This window comes from Homo sapiens, chromosome 14 (assembly GCF_000001405.40).
Source record: "Homo sapiens chromosome 14, GRCh38.p14 Primary Assembly".
Classification (NCBI taxonomy): domain Eukaryota; kingdom Metazoa; phylum Chordata; class Mammalia; order Primates; family Hominidae; genus Homo; species Homo sapiens.
The window spans coordinates 89,098,334-89,120,009 of record NC_000014.9 but is presented as its reverse complement, the minus strand read 5'-3'; the positions used below and the strand labels follow the sequence as shown (position 1 = coordinate 89,120,009).

Genomic DNA, 21,676 nt, shown 5'->3' with positions numbered 1-21,676 from the left:
TGTCACTGCCCCCTGCTCCATAACTCCATCTTGCTGCATCTTCTACCATTCCTGCTTCTTTATGTTGCTAACCCTGGATGCAAACTCTGGTTAAGTACATCTGATGGGTGGAGCCTCTCTCATGTGCCCATGTCCTAGCTGCAAGGGAGGCTGGGAAAGCAAGTGTCTGGCAATTTCTGCTTTTAAAGTGAGAGCCAATGACACCACCCACCAATACTCAAAAAGGTGGTGAGTTTCCCAAAGCCTGAAAGGGGATTTGATGGCCAATACGAATGTTCTTGAAACTCTGAATGAGAGTTTCAGGAGATACTGGTTCACTTTCCCACCTTCACCCCTACCCAAGGAGCCAACAAACAAAGCACTCAGTCCCTTTCCTGCTTCCCCCTAGTTGGGGCATGTGTCCTCCTCTGAGTTTTCTGAAGTCTGTTGTTCTCAGCTCAGCTCCAATGGAAGGCAAATCTGCAGACTCTATACTGGGTCTGATTCACGGGCATATGGTGCTGTATCATGTTGTTATAACATAAATAAAAATATTTTACATGGAAACTTAAGGGAGGGAGGCTTCCGGAGCCCCCACGCTCTGTCAGCTGCCTCAGGCTGTGAAAGGAAGAATGTGTTTGAGATGCAGACCGCCTCCATGGGATGTTTGCTGAGGAGGCCACTTCTCCTCACTTCCTTCTCCCACCCCAGCCCTGTCCTCCAAGGTAATCGGGTTTGACTTGGAAAGAAAAAGGCATGAGGCTACCTGGATTTCATACAGAGAATTCAGCATTGAGGGGTAAACTTTTGGAACCCATGAGGAGAGAGAACTGCAAGGATAGAGGAAAGTGTGGCTGTCGGTAGGTGGAGGGCTCCTCTCCCATGGCGATATGGTTTAGCCATGTCCTCACCTAAATCTCATTTTGAATTGTAGTTCCCATAATCCTCATGTGTCGTGGGAGGGACCAGGTGGAGATAATTGAATCACGGGGGTGGTTTCCCCTATCCTGTTCTGGTGGTAGTGAATTAGTTCTCACGAGATATGATGCTTTTAAAAGGGGCTTCTCCCTTCGCTGGGCACTTATTCTCTCTCCTGCCGCCCTGTGAAGAGGTGCTTTCTGCCATGATTGTAAGTTTCCTGAGGCCTCCTCAGCTATGCAGAACTGTGAGTCAATTAAACTTCTTTCCTTTATAACTTACCCAGTTTTGGATATGTCTTTATTAGCAGCGTGAGAACAGACTAATGTACGTGGTCAGCTGGTCTTTGTACTACGTCAGGGCATGATGGCATAGAGAGTTTTCTGCTCCTTTAAAGGAGATGAGTTTGTGGCCCACCTGATTTAAAGATTTTAAGTAGATTCACTTGAGTGATATTTACAACTTGTCAGAGGCCTCCCTCATCTGACATCTCATTGACTGCTACCACACGGCCAGGTAAGCATCATGACTTGGCATCGTAAATGGGTAAATGCAGCAGAGAGGTGAAACGATGATCCCATCACACGGCTGGTTGATGTTGCAAAGACAGAAACCCAGGCTGTCTTGACTCCCAGGCCAGAGTTATTTTAGACCAAAGATTTTGAGTCAGAGGAGGCTTAGGCTCCCTCTCATTTTACAATAGAGATAACTATAGCCCAGGTTGGTTAAATGACTTGCAGATGTTCCCACAGATAGGTAGTGGCTGAATGGAGACCAGAACTGATGCAGAGTATGGCTTTGAGAATCAGGGAAACAGGGGTTCAAATCCTGCCTTTACTCCCTTCCCAACCAGCCCACCCCTGGAAAATGGGCACAGTTGTATTCATTTAATAGCATTACTTTAACAATTAAATAAAATATGAGGTTGGTGCAAAAGTAATCATGGTTTTTGCCATTAAAAGTAATGGCAAAAACCCGCCATCACTTTTGCGTCAACCTAATAAAAGCGTTAAACTCCCAGAGCACTAGCTAGCACACAGTAGGCATGTGACACACGTTACTTCCTCTCTTCCCATCCATCCTGGACTCCTAGTCCAGGCTCCTGCTGCAGACTCAGATGACTGTCCTGATATTAGTGATGCCGCCTGTCTCCTGCCTCGTGGGGGCCGTCCGGTCAGCCCCCTCATTAACCACATTGACTTTGATTAAGTGCCAGCCTGTAATCCTAAAAATGTCACATTATTGAGGACTAATTGTTTCCCCCAGTCGCAACCCAGGAATCCATCCTCAAAACAGCCAGATAACCGAGATTGTCCTCTGGTGTCTTGTGTGTCAAGATTTTATAAGCAGAGATTGCCATCTTTAGTTTTCCCCAACTTCTCATTTTGGGGGATTATTTATGCTCACATCATCCAAATATGTGTCCCCTGCATTTCCAGGGTGGTGACTTGAATGACCGTCCCTCTTCCCTCCCTCCCACCCTCAATTTTTGGCTCTCTGATATCTCATTATATTCTAAAGAGCTATCTGCAAGGCAGGGCACCAGGATGCAATTAAATCTGCTTCTGTAGCAACACTGCTCTTAAGCAAAATATATTGATCGCCGAAGCTTTGAACCCACTTTAATCAAGTAATCTAAACAGGGCTTAAGCTTCGAAAGCCGAGCTATGTGCCCGGCTTCAAAGCGCTTACTTACACTGAATTAATTTATCCTGGATGTACTAATGCTCCCCGCAACCCTGTGAATTATAATGTTAGAGGTTGCAATCAGGGCTCCGATAATATCCCCAAAGCCCGGCTGCTATTGATTGTCATGTAAAAAGGCACAAAGGGGAGTGGGGTGGAGGGGAGGGGAATAAAGGGATTGGGGTGGATAGAGCAAGACTGAAGTGTCCCTGTCCACGTGGGGCCAGGCGCCCAGTGCTAGCTTGGGGAATGGGATTGGAAAGAGGCTGGGTCTGCACTCTGAGGTGCTGCATTCAGAGGGGGAATTGCTTTAGGAAGCTCCAGCTGTGACTCTGAGGTGGAAGCCAGGGAATGGCTTGTGTGTGGATTGTGGACAGGGAGGGAAATTGGACATCTGTTTCAGAGGCCAAGCTGCCATTCACTCTCCCACTGGTAGCTACCTCTCCCCGCATTTACTCAGGCAATTGCATCTCCTTGACCTCAATCCCTGGCTTTTGAGTGCAGCCCCTACCGACATTCCACATCTGGAGCTTGTGACCTTATTATTTATTTATTAAACAATTTATTGATAACCTTCTATGTTCCAGACATTATTATTGTTTTGAGACAGGGTCTTGCTCTGTCTCCCAGGCTGGAGTGCGGTGGTGTGAACATAGCTTACTGCAAACTTGACCTCCTGGGCTCAAGCGATCCTTCTACTTCAGCCTCCTGAATAGCTGGGACTACAGGCACAAACCATCATGCCTCGCTAATCTTTTATTATTATTTTTTGTAGACACAGGGTCTTGCTATGTTGCCTAAGCTGGTCTCAAACTCCTGGGCTCAAGGAATCCTGCTACCTTGGCCTCTCAAATGTGTTGGGATTACACGTGTGCACCACCACTCCCAGCCTGTGCCAGGCATTATTCTAGGTTCTGGGAATAGAGTGGTGAACAAGATAGACAAAAGTCCTTGGCCTCATGGAATTTATTTTCTACCAGTGTGGGGTGGAGGGAGACTAACACACTGCCTATTTTACTTATTTGTTTAGTTACAGTCTGATGATGGAATCTGCTCTAGAGAAAAATAAGACAGGAGACAGGAATAGGGAATATGTGAGTGTGTGCAGCAGGTGGTATCAGTGTGAGTTCAAATCCAGGGGTCCTCGTTGGGAAGGTGACATTTGTGCAGAGATCCAAAGGAGAAATGGGAAGGAGCCACACAGACCTCTGAGGGAAGATGCTCTGGGCAGAGGGAAGAGCAAGGGCCAAGGCCCTGAAGTGAAGCATGCCTGGGCTGTTTGAGGAACAAGAAGGAGGCCCATGTAGCTGAGACAGAGTAGGCGAGAGGGAGAATAGGATGACATGAAGCCAGAGAGCATGTAAGCACAAGACAATGGCCAAGGTTAACCAGTGTATTTAGTTTCCTTGGCCACAGTGATGGTTCAGGGATGGGCCAGTGACATGAACCATGAGAGATATGGGCTGGGTGATGGGCAGCCATTTTGTCACCACATGGAACCTGAGGATAAAGTCAAAATAGAGGACAGAGGAGCCAAGGTATGTGTGTTGTGGTTTGACCTCCTGAATCCTACTGAGCCTGAAAACTTTACATCCCTTGGCATTTTCAATTTCTGGGAGTCTGTAAATCCTCCTTTTTGCCTAAACTATTTTGGATTTTTTTCTAAATAAATCTTTAGACCTCAGAAGTCCCACCTCTTGACACTAAGTTCACAGGTGGAGCATACCACCCCAGCATCCGTTTGCTCTCTGTGTCATGCTGGAGGCCCAGGCTGGCTCTTGTCTCCCCTTAGGAGGGGGGGGGTCCTCCCTTTCCCTCTGCCTCTAAAATGCACCTGGGTTGGCAGGGATGGAGGATGGCAGAACTCTGAACTCCTTCCCAAATTCCATTTTTCTGTCTCCCACTCCATCTCCCCCAGATCTTTGGATCCTGTTGGCCCTTTCCTACCTGAAGAAGAGAGAGTACTGGTGTTTATTTAGGACCTATATGTGCTGGATTTTACATTGTTGAGTTTTTATGTATGTCATTGTATTTTTACAATTTTTGCAGCTCTAGGAGGTAGGTATTGGCAGCGCTGATGTTTATCACATTACCATGATGGTATATAGGCTGGCATCTCATTCTTACGTTGGTGGCCATGCCATACAGGCTGCTTACATTTTTAGAAATGACTCTTGGATATTAGTATACCTTTGTAGCCTAGATGCCAGCAGAGGTCCCCTGCCCTTGGAGATTTAAATTAAATTGATTCAGGCCTGTAATCCCAGCACTTTGGGAGGCTTAGGTGGGCAGATCACTTGAGGTAAGGAATTCATGACCAGCCTGGCCAACATGGTGAAACCCCGTCTCTACCAAAAATACAAAAATTAGCCAGGCATGGTGGTGCGTGCGTGTAATCCCAGCTACTCGGTGGCTGAGACACGAGAATCACACAAACTTGGGAGGCGAAGGTTGCAGTGAGCTGAAATCATGCCACTGCACTCCAGCCTGGGTGACAGAGCGAGACTCTGTCTCAAAAACAAACAAACAAACAAACAAACAAACAAACAAATTAAGTTGATTCCAATGCTGCTGTGTGTGCTATCACAGCCAGCCACGTTTCCTCTAATCTCTCAGGAGACATGTGGGGGGTGGGAGCTTATGTTTTCCCACTGATCTCTGGCTTCAAGCTCCTCTGACTTCTTGCAAATTCTCTTGCTGTTCCTACCATGTTGCAGTCCGTTTCTGATCATATCACCCAGATATGGAGTGCCCCCTCCCCTACCCCACCACCACACAACACATATTATTAACTCAAAGCATTTGTATGTAGAAGACTATACTTAAGGTTTAGAATGTTGAATGGGGATGCTTCACCATAAAGCAAGAAAAGAAACTGAACATCATGCATCCCTCTGTTGGCATTTAGTAGGCCATTTCCAACAAGAGGACTCTCACCTGTGTGGCCTTTCTCCTCCCAGCTAAGCTCTCACCCTGCATTTTTCTGGGTCCCCTTTCTTTCCCATCTTTTCATCTCCTCTCTCCCATTTGATTCCTAGTCACTTTTGCAGAATAAAAATGTGAGTTCTCCAGCCCTACTCACCTCTAGGCTTACCTGGAAGCTCATTAGCATGTCTGCTCATCAGGGGCACATTCTCTCCAAGTCCCTCTTTTGAACAGCACAGAGGAGCCAGCATGGCTTTGCACTTTGGTCCTTCCCTTGTTCCAGCCACACCAATCTCTGCTGGGGAAGGTGTGCATTAGTGATGTATTCCTCAGTGTTATGAATGATTCCATAAGTGGCAGAAGTTGCCACAGGAAACCTGGGCTTTAAGAACTAAACTTTTTCTCTATATTACATCCATTTTAATGGGGAGAAAAAGAATGCTTCATGAGGTTAGGTGGATAAGTAATTTGCCCAGTCTAGCACAGCTAGGATCCAGGAGAAGCGGGATTGAATCCAGGTGTGGTGATGGCAAATTTATGCCATTTCCATGATGGCATCATGAATTCAATAAAAATTGCATTGCTGTATTTACCGAGATTCATCCACACACATTCACTAAACTCTTACATGAAAGCACCAGGTTGGATAGGTTGTGGTTGGGGGTATGAGGACGGAAAATCAATGGTCCCTTCCTAGAAAGAATTCTTCATCTCACAGCGAGACAGACCAGATGGCCCATAAACTAAAGTGGAAGTTCAGGAAATTCAAGGAAAACAGGATAAAATACTCTGAAAACCCTTTACCTCTCTATTAAGGAAGCAGGATGGCAGTGATTATGAACTTGGACTCTGGTGACCCTGGGTGAGTTCCTTACTTGCTCTGTACCTCACTTTTTTTCAGCTGTAGAATGAAGACAATAATAGAACCCTTCTTATAGTGTTGGTGTGAAGGTTAAATGGATTAATACATGCAACATACTTAGAACAGCACCTGGCACATAGCAAACACTCAATAAATGTTAGCTATCACTATTAACGTATGGTGTACATGGCCAACAATGATTTTACTTGATAAATATTATGATCCCTGATTGTCAAGGGAGGAAACTGAAGCACAGAGATAAAACAGTGTCCTCCAGGTCACAGAGTCATTTTGCTACAGAGGTAGGAATAGTAAGCAGGTCTTGGATGCTGGTCCAGCATTTTCCTACTCCTGTGTGTTCCAACTGAGAGTTGAGAGTGTACAGGAAAGACTGCTGATCACTGTTTTTGGTAGAAATGGTGGCTTTCATTTTGAGTGGGCTGTATTCAAGAATGGGTGATAAGGAAGGGTGACGTGATTAAAAAAAAATAGTAGTCATTCACCAAAATCCATTCTTCTCATCGTCCATGGTGAGGGTTCAGTGGCGGATGCACGCTGAACAGTGGAGGACCAGGTTTCCCAACGTTCCTTGTGTTAGGGGCAGGGGCCATATTGAAAAGCTCTCACTTGCATATGGTGAGAGGAGGATGAACCATCCCCAAGATGACATCTTAAGACACAGAGTGTGGTGGGTGCACGGCCGGGCTCAGGCTGCAGTGCCCGGGCCCCTCGGCTGCTGCAACCGTCGGCAGGCGCAGGTGAAAGGGCTCCTGTACCATGCCCAGTGCGCCCCACTGTGTCTGGAATTGGTGGGTTCTTGGTCTCACTGACTTCAAGAATGAAGCCGCGGATCCTCCCGGTAAGTGTTACAGCTCTTAAGGTGGCGCGTCTGGAGTTTGTTCCTTCTGATGTTCGGATGTTTTCGGAGTTTCTTCCTTCTGGTGGGTTCATGGTCTCGCCAGCTCACGAGTGAAGCTACAGACCTTCACGGTGAGTGTTACAGCTCTTAAAGTGGAGCGTCTGGAGTTGTTCGTTCCTCCCTTTGGGCTCGTGGTCTCGCTGGCTTCAGGAGTGAAGCTGCAGACCTTCGCGGTGAGTGTTACAGCTCATAAAAGCAATGTGGACCCAAAGAGTGAGCAGTAGCAAGATTTATTGCAAAGAGCAACAGAACAAAGCTTCCACAGTGTGCAAGGGGACCCGAGCAGGTTGCCACTGCTGGCTCGGGCAGCCTGCTTTTATTCTCTTATCTGGCCCCACCCACGTCCTGCTGATTGGTAGAGCCCAGTGGTCTGTTTTGACAGGGCGCTGATCGGTGCATTTACAATCCCTGAGCTAGACATAAAGGTTCTCCAAGGCCCCACTAGAGCTGCTAGATACAGAGTGTCCACTGGTGCATTCATAAACCCTGAGCTAGACACAGGGTGCTGATTGATGTGTTTACAAACCTTGAGCTAGATACAGAGTGCCAATTGGTGTATTTACAATCCCTGAGCTAGACATAAAGGTTCTCCACGTCCCCACCAGACTCAGGAGCCCAGCTGGCTTCACCCAGTGGATTCTGCACGGGGGCTGCAGGTGGAGCTGCCTGCCAGTCCCGTGCTGTGCGCTCGCACTCCTCAGCCCTTGGATGGTCAATGGGACTGGGCGCCGTGGAGCAGGGAGTGGCACTCGCTGGGGAGGCTCCGGCCGCACAGGAGTCCATGGAGGGGGTGGGAGGCTCAGGCAAGGTGGGCTGCAGGTCCCGAGCCCTGCCCTGCGGGAAGGCAGCTAAGGCCCGGTGAGAAATCGAGCGCAGCGCCGGTGGGCTGGCACTGCTGGGAGACCCAGTACACCCTCCGCAGCCGCTGGCCCGGGTGCTAAGTCCCTCATTGCCCGGGGCCGGCAGGGCCGGCCGGCTGTTCCGAGTGCGGGGCCCGCCAAGCCCACGCCCACCCGGAACTCCAGCTGGCTCGCAAGCGCCGCACGCAGCCCCGGTTCCCGCTCGCGCCTCTCCCTCCACACCTCCCTGCAAGCTGAGGGAGTGGGCTCCGGCCTTGCCCAGCCCAGAAAGGGGCTCCCACAGTGCAGCGGTGGGCTGAAGGGCTCCTCAAGTGCCGCCAAAGTGGGAGCCCAGGCAGAGGAGGCGCCGAGAGCGAGCGAGGGCTGTGGGGACTGCCAGCACGCTGTCACCTCTCACCACCTGCCTGGCGTTGCTCACAGGGCGGGAAAGCGTGGCTGTTACAAACGCATTCTGACTTGGGGGAGCAGAAGTTAACTACTTTCATACCAATCTCTCTCTCTTTAAAAGGTGAGGTGAATCGGTGATTTTCCTGAAAAATTACAGGTACCCAGCTAAGATCTGAATGCCATCACCCTACCCAGGGCTCTGCAGTTTTCTCATGGTGAACCCTTGATGGATTTGTTAGTTGCTTGAGAAATGGCTATGAGTGGATTGAGGTTTGGAAGACAGAGTTTTCATCCGTTGAAGAGGAAGAGTTGATTGCTGTTGAAATTCATTGTCTTCTCTGTGCTTCTGTTTTGTGAATTTTTAATCTATTACTTAGTGATCTTTTGGTGTAATTGGCCTGAAGCGAAAACCGCAGCCTATGATGGTGAACAGGCCACGTGTGAGCCTGTGCTCAAAGCCATGTTTTTGGCTGACACCCACTTGCTTAGGGAATTCCTAGGTCACTGGCTGGACAAATTACGAAGGGAATGGCAGGTGGAGAGAGCCTTCCAGACAGCTCTGTGGTTGCTGCAGCCGGAAGTCGTCTTCATCCTGGAGGATGTCTTTGATGAAGGGAAGTGGAGCACCTCTGAGGCCTGGGTGGATGATGTGGAGCAGTTTCGGAAAATGTTCAGACACCCAAGTCATGTGCAGCTGAAGGTAGTTGCTGGAAACCATGACACTGGCTTCCACTATGAGACGAACACATACGAAGTAGAACGGTTTGAGAAAGTGTTCATCTCTGAAAGCCTGTTTTCTTGGAAAGGATTAACTTCATGATGGTCAACAGCATGGCACTGAAGGGGGACAGCTGTGGCATCTGTTCTGAAGCAGAAGCAGAGCTCACTGAAGTTTCTTACAGACTGAACTGCTCCCAAGAGCGTTATCCTCTGTATTGGAGAAGCGACACTAACTGTTCTGGGGAAGATGTTGCTCCTCCGGAGGAAAAGAACACCCCATTAAGGAGAATTATGATGTGCTTTCTCGGGAGGCATCGCAAAAGCTGCTGTGTTGACTCCAGCCACACCTGGTCCTCAGCGGCCACACGCACAGCACCTGCGAGGTGCACCACGGGGGATGAATCCCCGAGCTCAGCCTCTCATCTTTCAGTTGGAGGAACAGAAACAACCCCAGTTTCATTATGGGTAGCATCACACCCACAGACTATGCCCTCTCCAAGTGCCACCTACCACCTGAGGACGTGGTCTTGATCATCTACTGTGGAGTGGTGGGCTTCCTTGTGGTTCTGACACTTACTCACTTTGAGCTTTTAGCCTCACCTTTTCTTTCTGAGGTTTGAACCTGCTCAGAAAGCATAAGACAAGGTGAAAAGCAAGCAACATATGCACTTAGTAATAAATATCAAAGCCCAAGAAATGGAACTTTGGGCAGAGATCATGTTAGACTCAAGTGGATAATGAGACCAAATATAGGCCATCTCTGCATATCACAGAAATTCTCAATCACTGAAACGAGTTACTGCAGAACAAGTAGTAGATTGTACTGTTCTCATGCTATAAAAATGGAACAGCTACTCTACAACAACAACAACAACAACAACAACAACAACAACAACAGACACAGAGTGTGGTTCTTCCATGCTCTTTTTCTCTTTCTTGCTGGCTACAGAAATTACCAGATAGAATAGTAGACTCTAAAGCAGGACTCCTGAAACTACCTGTGTTGAAGAATGTGATTTCCACCCAACTCCAATTCCCATCTATCATGGACCAACTTTTGGTCTACAACTTGTTCAATGAGACGAGTCCATTGGTCATGTGCCTGGATGTCATGGCAATGTCAAATCGAGGTAAAAGTTTCTGAAAGTGTGTTATCCATGTCGCGACTCAATTCATGGTGGACTTTTACCAAGAAGTTTGATGGACTAGTACTTGCCTATAATCCACACTTAAGCAGCACTGCTCCTGGACATGCAGAGACAAGCTGAAAGGGTTCCTGATGGCCACATGGGGCATAGTGATCTGCCAACCTGGAATGTTCAAATCAGATGCTTACATCTGAGAAAAAGAAATGAAAAACCATATTCTTCACTGTATCTTAAGATTGCTTTCTCCAGGAGGTATGCTTTACCCTAATATAAATGGGTCATGCCATGTATTAAAAGGAAGAGTGGACTTTTGAACCAGGCAGAATGACCCCTGCTATAGCCCAAGCTGTACACATGTTGGTTCTACTTGCTGGGACAATGCCACGCCTCCCCAGGACATTCCTGGGTGCCCATGGTGTGCCATACACTGAAGGATGACACAAGGCCACCGATCCTCTGCCAACGGGTCCCTTGCTGGATTCCTTTTCATCTGTAGGTTCTTGGTATGTTGGGAATGATTTGGATCCAAGTAAATTCATGTTCCAAGGCTCAAAGGAAATCAAAGGTGTCGAAGTGCTTTGATCCAAAGGCTGGTAAGCAAAGTTTAGTTCATAAAACAGCTGGTGCTGAGAGAAGATTGAAATAAGGATATGGGGACCCCTGTGAGGTCTAAGAGATCCTAGGGGGGCAGGGAGCAGGGCCTACACTTGGAAATTAGACTGACATGCTTCTGATGCCTAGAGTCACAAATTCCAGCTGAGCTGAGTGCCTTTGGGCAAGTCACGTGGTGTCTTCTCTGTAAAGGGAGACTGTTATGATGACATTGCAGGAGTGGTATGAAGGTCTCCAAGAAGGTACAGAAAGACCCGCATGCAGCTGGGTGGCAGCCAGGGCCCAGCAAGGAACAGATGGCACATTCAAACTGGGTGATTGGAGGAGAGAGAAATTAGGAGACCACGTACAAAGGCGCAGCAAGGATGGGGAGACTCACAAGACATAGCATAGTACCTGGCTGGCAATGGTGTGTATGGGCGGGGGAGTGGGGGTAGCTGTTATAGCTGTTAGCCTGAAGGGCAAAGGAGAAAACAGTTGTCAGAATCCAGAATGCTTGCTACATATAAGTAGCATGACGGGGAGGATCGTCCAATAGGATTGGAGGTTGATGCCAGGACGTACACTGCCAACCCCTGGTGGTATCTCTACAGGGTGTGAACTGGAGAATAAACATCCTGACTTTACTCTCTTCCCACCCTTCTAACTCCGGCTGCTTCTTCCCGCTGGCCAAACTCCAGTGGAAGGCAGAGGATAAGGGGGCCTTCCAGGCAGGCCAGCGTCCCAGGCTCAGAAGAGGATAGAGAAGCAGGAAGGAGAATCCAGGAAGGCCAATGACTGCATCCTCCCAACCCAGCATATAGAAGCTGCTCAACTTACAGGAGCACTTAAAAAAATGTATAGTCTTTGGATGTAACTGCAAGTAAGGTCACATGCTTCCTCTGAGGCACCACTTAACTGAAAATTGGACCTCACGAATGTGAGCCATGCAGGTCTGTTCTCACCTGGAGCAGAGAGGATGAGCAAATGGTTCGCTCTGTGCTGGCCTCTTGCCAGATCCTTTTCTACTTCTTTATTCCTCGTTCTCTGCTGTCCTTGCCTAGGAAACCACCATCTGGCTGCAACACGCCTAAGGAAGGTATTGGTGAGTTGAGGACCTGGGGTAGGTCCCCTGCTGCCTTAAGAGATGATTAGTGGCTGCTTGCCGGCAGATGTAGCTCAGTGGCATTTTAAATATCCAAATGTCCCCCTGCCTCATGAGGGAGGCCACGGACTATTGAAGGTGTTTCACACAGAGAGCCCTGATTGCTGTGGCAATAATTTCCTTCAACAGCCATTAAACCACTTCTGAATGTGTTATTAAAAAAGAAAACTAAGAGAAAAGGGCAGGGGGGGTGTGTGCAGGGGGGCAGACATCCTTCCTATTTCCTGAAAAATATCAGAGCTCACAGGGTGAGCTTTAACTAATCGGATGGGATTTTAATATCAGTTTGTTGGCAGTTATGAGCGCACTGTCAGTCCTGCCTCTCAGCTTGGGGATGTGGGTGGGGGCAACTTGGAGTCCCATGAGTGCTGCCCAGCTGCCTCAAGACCAAGTATCGGCAGAGCCCAGCACCCACTGGGGTGATTTGTCCCTGGGCTACTCACCAGCATTCTCTGGTCCAAGAGAGATGTTGTCTTAAGTCTTCGAGAGTAAATGAGTCTTCTCAGCTCAGGTCCCTTCCTTGGCAAAACAGCCAGTTCTTTAGTCAGGGCCTGTGCCTACCCCTATAAACCACCTACCAAAAGGTGGCTGGAATATATGGGTGTCCTTATCCACTCACTCAGCAAATATATATGGGGGGGTTCTGTATTAGTCCATTCACACTGCTAATAAAGACATACCTGAGACTAGGTAATTATAAAGGAAAAAGAGATTTAATGGACTCACAGTTCCACGTGGCTGGGAAGGCCTCACAATCATAGTGGAAGGCAAAGGAGGAGCAAAGGCACGTCTTAACATCATGGCAGGCAAGAAAGAAGTGCCGAGCAAAGGAGGGGAAAACCGGCCGGGCACAGTGGCCTATGCCTGTAATCCCAGCACTTTGGGAGGCTGAGGCGGGTGGATCCCGAGGTCAGGAGATCGAAACCATCCTGGCCAATATGGTGAAACCCCATCTTTGTTAAAATACAAAAAATTAGCCAGGTGAGGTGGAGCACTCTTGTAGTCCCAGCTGCTCGGGAGGCTAAGGCAGGGGAATTGCTTGAACCTGGGAGGTGGATGTTGCGGTGAGTCGAGATCTCGCCACTGCACTCCAGCCTGGCAACAGAGTGAGACTCTGTCTAATTAAAAAAAAAAGTGAGGGAACCCCTTATAAAACCATCAGATCTCATGAGAACTCACTATCATGAGAACAGCAGCATGGGGGTAACCATCCCCATGATTCAATTACCTCCTATCAGGTCCCTCCCACAACATGTGGGGATTATGGGAGCTACAATTCAAGATGAGATTTGGGTGGGGACACAGCCAAACCATATCAGGGCCTCTGCCAGGCACAGCTTCAGATGCTTGGGCTGCAATAGGGACGGTCTGCAGAATATCAATAGTTACGAGGGTTCCAGCAACAGCCAACCAGAACAGATATAAGTCAAGGGGCTGGAACAGGTCCCGCCGGCCCCCAGTGGGCCAGTCACTACCCTCTCTGTTAGTGGTTGGCGATTTCTGGGGCCTTGCTCAGCACAGTGAGTGTTAATTGGTCTGGAAGTATTTCAGCATTTTACCAATTGTCGTAGTCATACTGACATGTGCCAGCTGAACAAAACATGCCATGTCTCCCCTACAGAGTTTACCTTCTTACAAGCACGGAGAAGCAGTCAGCTTTTTCTTTTCCATCCTTGTCATAGGGATGCTTTTAAAGTCTTGCTGAAAAATAGGAAAAGCTCCATTTTCTGTTCTAGGCCTATGTAGACTCTTTAAAAAATGATGAGACACAGGTTTCAGGCTATCAGGCACAGAGGTTGTTTGAGGCAACATTTGGTCTTCATTTAAGGCAAGGCTGTGTGACATTTAACAATGTCTGTACCCTTTCGGCTTAGAGGTTCATCTAGACAGCTGTCACAAGCACGCTCACTCCCAGTCCCAGAGGAATGAGTGAAGAGGGGTTTGCCCACATATAAGGGACCCAGGACAACTGCCCCCAAAGGGAGATGTGTTCTGTCCCCTTTTGATGCCTTATTTAGCGAGGCAAAATGATGGCTATGATGATACCCAGCCACCACTTCCTGACATCATCTGCCCCATGGAGGGGCTGGCTTTCCCTAATGGATCTCACTCTGGATAGGAAGTTCATTCTCACAGCCACATGCAGAGCCTGATGGATTCTCACTTTGGAATAATGGTCACAGATTATGAGATCAGTTTTGTCCCTGGAAAGGAAGAACTGTAAAACAGTTTCTGTTAATATCCCTGGTCCATAAAAGGAGGTTTGCAAGCACTTTTTAGAAATATCACTTACTAATCAAACCTGGATTTCTAGGTTATTATCTGTTCTGAGAATTGCTAATGCTATCAAGAAGGCAAAAATGCAGAGAGAATACAGGATGTAGTGGAGAAAGCCGTCACCATTTACAAAGAGAGAAGCAGCAGCATTATTTTTCTTAAAAATTACCAAAGGGAAGAATGGATGCCACAGATGCTCTTCTGAGTTACTCTTGGATCACATCTACCAAAAGTGTTCTTAAAATCTGTATGTGACAACATGCTAGTAAAGAGGAAAGCAAGGGAGCTGTGGGCAAGATCGCCAAATAAGAACAGCTCCAGCCTGTAGCTCCCAGCAAGATCAAGGGAGAAGGCGGGTGATTTCTGCATTTCCAACTGAGGTACCAGCTCATCTCATTGGGACTGGTTAGACAGTAAGTGTAGCCCACAGATGGCAAGCCAAAGCAGGGTGGGGCATCGCCTCACCTGGGAAGTGCAAAGGGTCAGGGAACTCCCTCCCCTAGCCAAGGGAAGCCGTGAGGGAATGTGCCCTGAGGGACAATGCATTCTGGCCCAGATACTATGCTTTTCCCATGGTCTTCACAACCTGTATACCAGGAGATTCCTTCAGGTGCCTATGCCACCAGGGCCCTGGGTTTCAAGCACAAAACTGGGCAACTGGTCAGGCAGTCACCGAGCTAGCTGCAGGAGTTTTTTTTTTTCATACCCCAGTGGTGCCTGGAATGCCAGTGAGACAGAACAGTTCACTCCCCTGGAAAGGGGGCTAAAGCCAGGGAGCCAAGTGGTCTAGCTCAGCAGATCCCACCCCACAGAGCTCAGCAAGCTAAGATCCACTGGCTTGAAATTCTCTCTGCCTGCACAGCAGTCTGAAGTTGACCTGGGATACTCGAGCTTGATGGGGGGAGGGGCATTCACCATTACTGAGGCTTGAGTAGGCGGTTTTCCCCTCACAGTGTAAACAAAGCCACTGGGAAGTTTGAACTCGGCTGAGTCCACCACAGCTCGGCAAAGCCGCTATAGCCAGACTGCCTCTCTAGAGTCCTCCTCTCTGGGTAGGGCATCTCTGAAAGAAAGGCAGCAGCCCCAGTCAGGGGCTCATACATAAAACTCCTGTCTTCCTTGGAACAGAGCAGCTGAGGGAAGGGGCGGCTGTGGGCACAGTTTCAGCAGACTTAAACATTCCTGCCTGCCGGCTCTGAAGAGAGCAGCAGATCTCCCAGCACAGCACTTGAACTCTGCTAAGGGACAGACTGCCTCCTCAAGTGGGTCGCTGATCCCTGTGCCACCTGATAGGGAGACACCTCCAAGCAGGGGTTGACAGACACCTCATACAGGAGAGCTCCGCCTGGCATCTGGTGGGTGCCCCTCTGGGACGAAGCTTCCAGAGGAATAAACAGGCAGCAATCTTTGCTGTTCTGCAGCCTCTGCTGGTGATACCCAGGCAAACAGGGTCTGGAGTGGACCTCCAGCAAACTCCAGCAGACCTGCAACAGAGAGGCTTGACTGTTAGAAGGAAAACTAACAAACAGAAAGGAATAGCATCAACATCAACAAAAAGGACGTCCACACAGAAACCCCATCCAAAGGTCACCAACATCAAAGACCAAAGATAGATACATCCACGAAGATGAGGAAAAACTAGTGCAAAAACGCTGAAAATTCCAAAAACCAGAATGCCTCTTCTCCTCCAAAGGATCACAACTCCTTGCCAGCAAGGGAACAAAACTGGACGGAGAATGAGTTTGATGAATTGACAGAAGTAGTCTTCAGAAGGTGGGTAATAACAAGCTCCTCTGAGCTAAAGGAGCCTGTTCTAACCCAATGCAAGGAAGCTAAGAACCTTGAAAAAAGGTTAGAGAAATTGCTAACTGGAATAACCAGTTTAGAGAAGAACATAAATGACCTGATGGAGCTGAAAAACACAGCACAAGAACTTCATGAAGCATACACAAGTATCAATAGCCAAATTGATCAAGTGGAAGAAAGGATATCAGAGATTGAAGATCAACTTAATGAAATAAAGTGTGAAGACAAGATTAGAGAAAAAAGAATGAAAAGGAACAAACAAACCCTCCAAGAAACATGGGACTATGTGAAAAGACCAAACCCATGTTGGATTGGTGTACCTGAAAGTGATGGGGAGAATGGAACCAAGTTAGAAAACACTCTTCAGGATATTATCCAAGAGAACTTTCCCAACCTAGCAAGACAGGCCAACATTCAAATTCAGGAAATACAGAGAACACCACAAAGATACTCCTCGAGAAGAGCAACCCCAAGACACATAATCGTAAGATTCACCAAGGTTGAAATGAAGGAAAAAATGTTAAGGGCAGCTGGAGAAAAAGGTCAGGTTACCCACAAAAGGAAGCCCATCAGACTAACAGCAGATCTTTGTGTAGAAATCCTACAAGCCAGAAGAGAGTGGGGATCAATATTCAACGTTCTTAAAGAACAGAATTTTTAACCCAGAATTTCATATCCAGCCAAACTAAGCTTTATAAGCTAAGGAGAAATAAAATCCTTTACAGACAAGCAAATGCTGAGAGATTTTGTCACCACCAGGACTGTCTTACAAGAGCTCCTGAAGAAAGCACTAAATATGGAAAGGAAAAACCAGTACCAGCCACTGCAAAAACATACCAAATTGTAAAGACCCTTGATATTATGAAGAAACTGCATCAACTAACGGGCAAAATAACCAGTTAGCATCATAATGACAGGAGCAAATTCACACATAACAATATTAACCTTAAGTGTGAATGGGCTAAATGCCCCAATTAAAAGACACAGCCTGGCAAATTGGATAGAGTCAAGACCCATTGGTGTGCTGTATTCAGGAGACCCATCTCATGTGCAAAGACACACATAGGCTCAAAATAAAGGGATGGAGGAATATTTACCAAGCAAATGGAAGGCAAAAAAAAAAAAAAAAAAAAAAGCAGGGGTTGCAATCCTCGTCTCTGATAAAACAGACTTTAAAACCAACAAAGATAAAAAAAGACAAAGAAGGGCATTACATAATGGTAAAGGGATCAATGCAACAAGAAGAACTAACTATTCTAAATATATATGCACCCAATATAGGAGCACCCAGATTCATAAACCAAGTTCTTAGAGACCTACAAAGAGACTTAGACTCCCACACAATAATAGTGGGAGACTTTAACACCCACTGTTGATATAGACAGATCAACGAGACAGAAAATTAACAAGGATATTCAGGACTTGAACTCAGCTCTGGACCAAGCAGACTTAATAGACATCTACAGAACTCTCCACCCAAAATCAACAGAACTCTCCACCCAAAATCAACAGAATATGCATTCTTCTCAGCGCCACATCACACTTATTCTAAAATTGACCACATAATTGGAAGTAAAACACTCCTCAGCAAATGCAAAAGAATGGAAATCATAACAAACAGTCTGTCTGACTGCAGGGCAATCAAATTAGAACTCAGGATTAAGAAACTCACTCAAAACCGCACAACTACATGGAAACTGAACAACCTGCTCCTGAATGACTACTGGGTAAATAATGAAATTAAGGCAGAAATAAATAAGTTCTTTGAAACCAATGAAAACAAAGACACAAGATACTGGAATCTCTGGGACACAGCTAAAGCAGTGTTTTGAAAGAAATTTTTAGCATTAAATGCCCACAGGAGAAAGTGGGAAAGATCTAAAATCGACATCCTAACATCACAATTAAAAGAACTAGGGAAGCAAGAGCAAACAAATTCAAAAGCTAACCGAAGACAAGAAATAACTAAGATCAGAGCAGAACTGAAGGAGATAGAGATGTGAAAAACCCTTCCAAAAAAAAATGAATCTGGGGGGCTGGTGTTTTGAAAAGATTAACAAAATAGATAGACCACTGGCCAGACTAATAGAGAAGAAAAGAGAGAAGAATAAAATAGATACAATAAAAAAAGATAAAGAGGATAACACCACTGATCCCACAGAAGTACAAACTACCTTCAGAGAATACTATAAACACCTCTATGCAAATAAACTAGAAAATCTAGAAGAAATAAATTCTTGGACACATACACTCGCCCAAGACTAAACCAGGAAGAAGTCGAATCCCTGAATAGACCAATAACAAGTTCTGAAATTGAGGCAGCAATTAATAGCCTAGCAACCAAAAAAAGTCCAGGGCCAGACAGATTCACAGCTGAATTCTCCGAGAGGTACAAAGAGGAACTGGTACCATTCTCCTTCTGAAACTATTCCAAACAATAGAAAAGAGGCACTCTTCCCTAACTCATTTTATGAGGCCAGCATCATCCTGATACCAAAACCTGGCAGAGACACAGCAAAAAAAGAAAATAAAATTTCAGGCCAATATCCCTGATGAAGATTGATGCAAAAATCCTCAATAAAATACTGGCAAACCGAACCCAGCAGCACATCACAAAGCTTACCCACCATGATCAAGTGGGCTTCATCCCTGGGATGCAAGGCTGGTTCAACATATACAAATCAATAAACGTAACCCAGCATGTAAACAGAACCAAAGACAAAAACCACATGATTATCTCAATAGATGCAGAAAAGGCCTTCAATAAATCCAACACCCTTTCGTGCTAAAAACACTCAATAAACTAGATATTGATGGAATGTATCTCAAAATAATAAGAGCTATTTATGACAAACTCACAGCCAATATCATACTGAATGGGCAAAAGCTGGAAGCATTCTCTTTGAAAACCAGCACAATACAAAGATGCCCTCTGTCACCACTCCTATTCAACATGTTATTGGAAATTCTGGCCAGGGCAATCAGGCAAGAGAAAGAAATAAAGGGTATTCAAATAGGAAGAGAGGAAGTCAAATTGTCCCTGTTTGCAGATAACATGATTGCATATTTAGAAAACCCCATCACCTCAGCCTAAATCTCCTTAAGCTGATAAGCAACTTCAGCAAAGTCTCAGGATACAAAATCAATGTGCAAAAATCACAAGCATTCCTATACACCAATAATAGATAAACAGAGAGCCAAATCATGAGTGAATTCCCATTCACAATTGCTATGAAGAGGATAAAATACCTACGAATACAACTTACAAGGGACACGAAGGACCTCTTCAAGGAGAACTGCAAACCACTGCTCAAGGAAATAAGAGAGGACACAAAAAAATGAAAAAACATTCCATGCTCATAGATAGGAAGAATCAATATGATGAAAATGGCCATACTGCCCAAAGTAATTTATAGATTCAATGCTATCCCCATCAAGCTACCATTGACTTTCTTCACAGAATTAGAACAAATTACTTTAAATTTCATATGGAACCAAAAAGCGCTCATATAGCCAAGACAACCCTAAGCAAAAAGAACAAAGCTGGAGGCATCACGCTACCTGACTTCAAACTATACTGCAAGGCTACAGTAACCAAAACAGCATGGCACTGCTACCAAAACAGAGATATAGACCAATGGAACAGAACAGAGGCCTCAGAAATAACGCCACACATCTGCAACCATCTGATCTTTGACAAACCTGACAAAAACAAGCAATGGGGAAAGGATTCCTTATTTAATAAATGATGTTGGGAAAACTGGCTAGCCATATGCAGAAAACTGAAACTGGACCCCATCCTTACACCTTATACAAAAATTAACTCAAGATGGATTAAAGACTTAAATGTAAGACCTAAAACCATAAAAACTCTAGAAGAAAACCTAGGCAATACCATTCAGGACATAGGCATGGGCAAAGACTTCATGACTAAAACACCAAAAGCAATGGCAACAAAAGCCAAAATTGACAAATGTGATCTAATTAAACTAAAAAGCTTCTGCATAGCAAAAGAAACTATGATCAGAGTGAACAGGCAACCTACAGAATGGGAGAACATTTTTGCAATCTATCCATCTGACAAAGGGTAATATTCAGAAACTACAAAGAACTTAAACAAATTTACAAGAAGAACAAACAAACAATCCCATCAAAAAGTGGGTGAAGGATATGAACAGACACTTCTCAAAAGAAATTTATGCAGCCAAGAAACATATGAAAAAAAGCTCATCATCACTGGTCATTAGAGAAATACAAATCAAAACCACGATGAGATACCATCTCACACCAGTTAGAATGGCAATCATTAAAAAATCAGGAAACGACAGATGCTGGGTAGGATGTGGAGAAATAGCAACGCTTTTACACTGTTGGTGGGAGTGTAAATGAGTTCAACCATTGTGGAAGACAGTGTGGCCATTCTTCAAGGATCTAGAACTAGAAATACCATTTGACCCAGCAATCCCATTAGTGGGTATATACCCAAAGGATTATAAATCATTCTACTGTAAAGACACATGAACACATATGTTTATTGCAGCACTGTTCACAATAGCAAAGACTTGGAACCAACCCAAATGCCCATCAATGATAGACTGGATAAAGAAAATGTGGCACATATACACCATAGAATACTATGCAGCCATAAAAAAGGATGAGTTTATGTCCTTTGCAGGGACATGGATGATTCTCAGAAACTAACACACAAACAGAAAACCAAACACCGCATGTTCTCACTCATAAGTGGGAGTTGAACAATGAGAACACATGGATACAGGGAGGGGAACATCACACATGGGGGCCTGTTGAGGGGTGGGTGGCTAGGGAAGGGATAGCATTAGGAGAAATACCTAATGTAGATGATGGGTTGATGGGCACAGCAAACCACCATGGCACGTGTATACCTATGTAACAAACCTGCACGTTCTGCACAGGTATCCCAGAACTTAAAAGTATAATTTTTTTAAAAAGAGGAAAAAGGAAGTTGCAGAAGAGCAAATATAGTATGAGTCCATTTACATAAAAAGGGATATACAAATGCATATAAATGACCCAAGAAATATGTGCATGCACACACAACTGTCCAGAAAATGTTTCAGGGATTTCCTGTAGATTTCAGAGGAAGAGAAAGTTTTCCCATCTTTGGGACAATGTGTATTATGAAACTGACCACGTTTCCCTTTTTGCTTTCCCTGCTGGGAAGTTCACAATTAAATCTGTATTTTCATTGTAATAACAGCAGGCTCCACTTAGGCCAGTGTTTCTCATCCTTGGCTGCAAGTTAGAATCACTTAGCTTTTTAAAATCCCAATGCCCAGGCCACACCCCATCTAAGTCAGAATCTCTGAGGGCTGGGACCCAGATGTCCATTTCAAAAAATCCCCGAGTAATTCCAATATGCAATTGTGGCTGAGAACCACTTCTCCAGACTGT

The 21,676-nt window shown here is 45.9% G+C and overlaps 1 pseudogene; it reads left to right on the top strand.

Moving 5' to 3' along the window:
* The first annotated feature begins 8,586 nt into the window (after nt 1–8,586).
* MPPE1P1 (metallophosphoesterase 1 pseudogene 1) lies at nt 8,587–10,102 on the top strand (annotated as a pseudogene).
* Nucleotides 10,103–21,676: the final 11,574 nt, after the last annotated feature.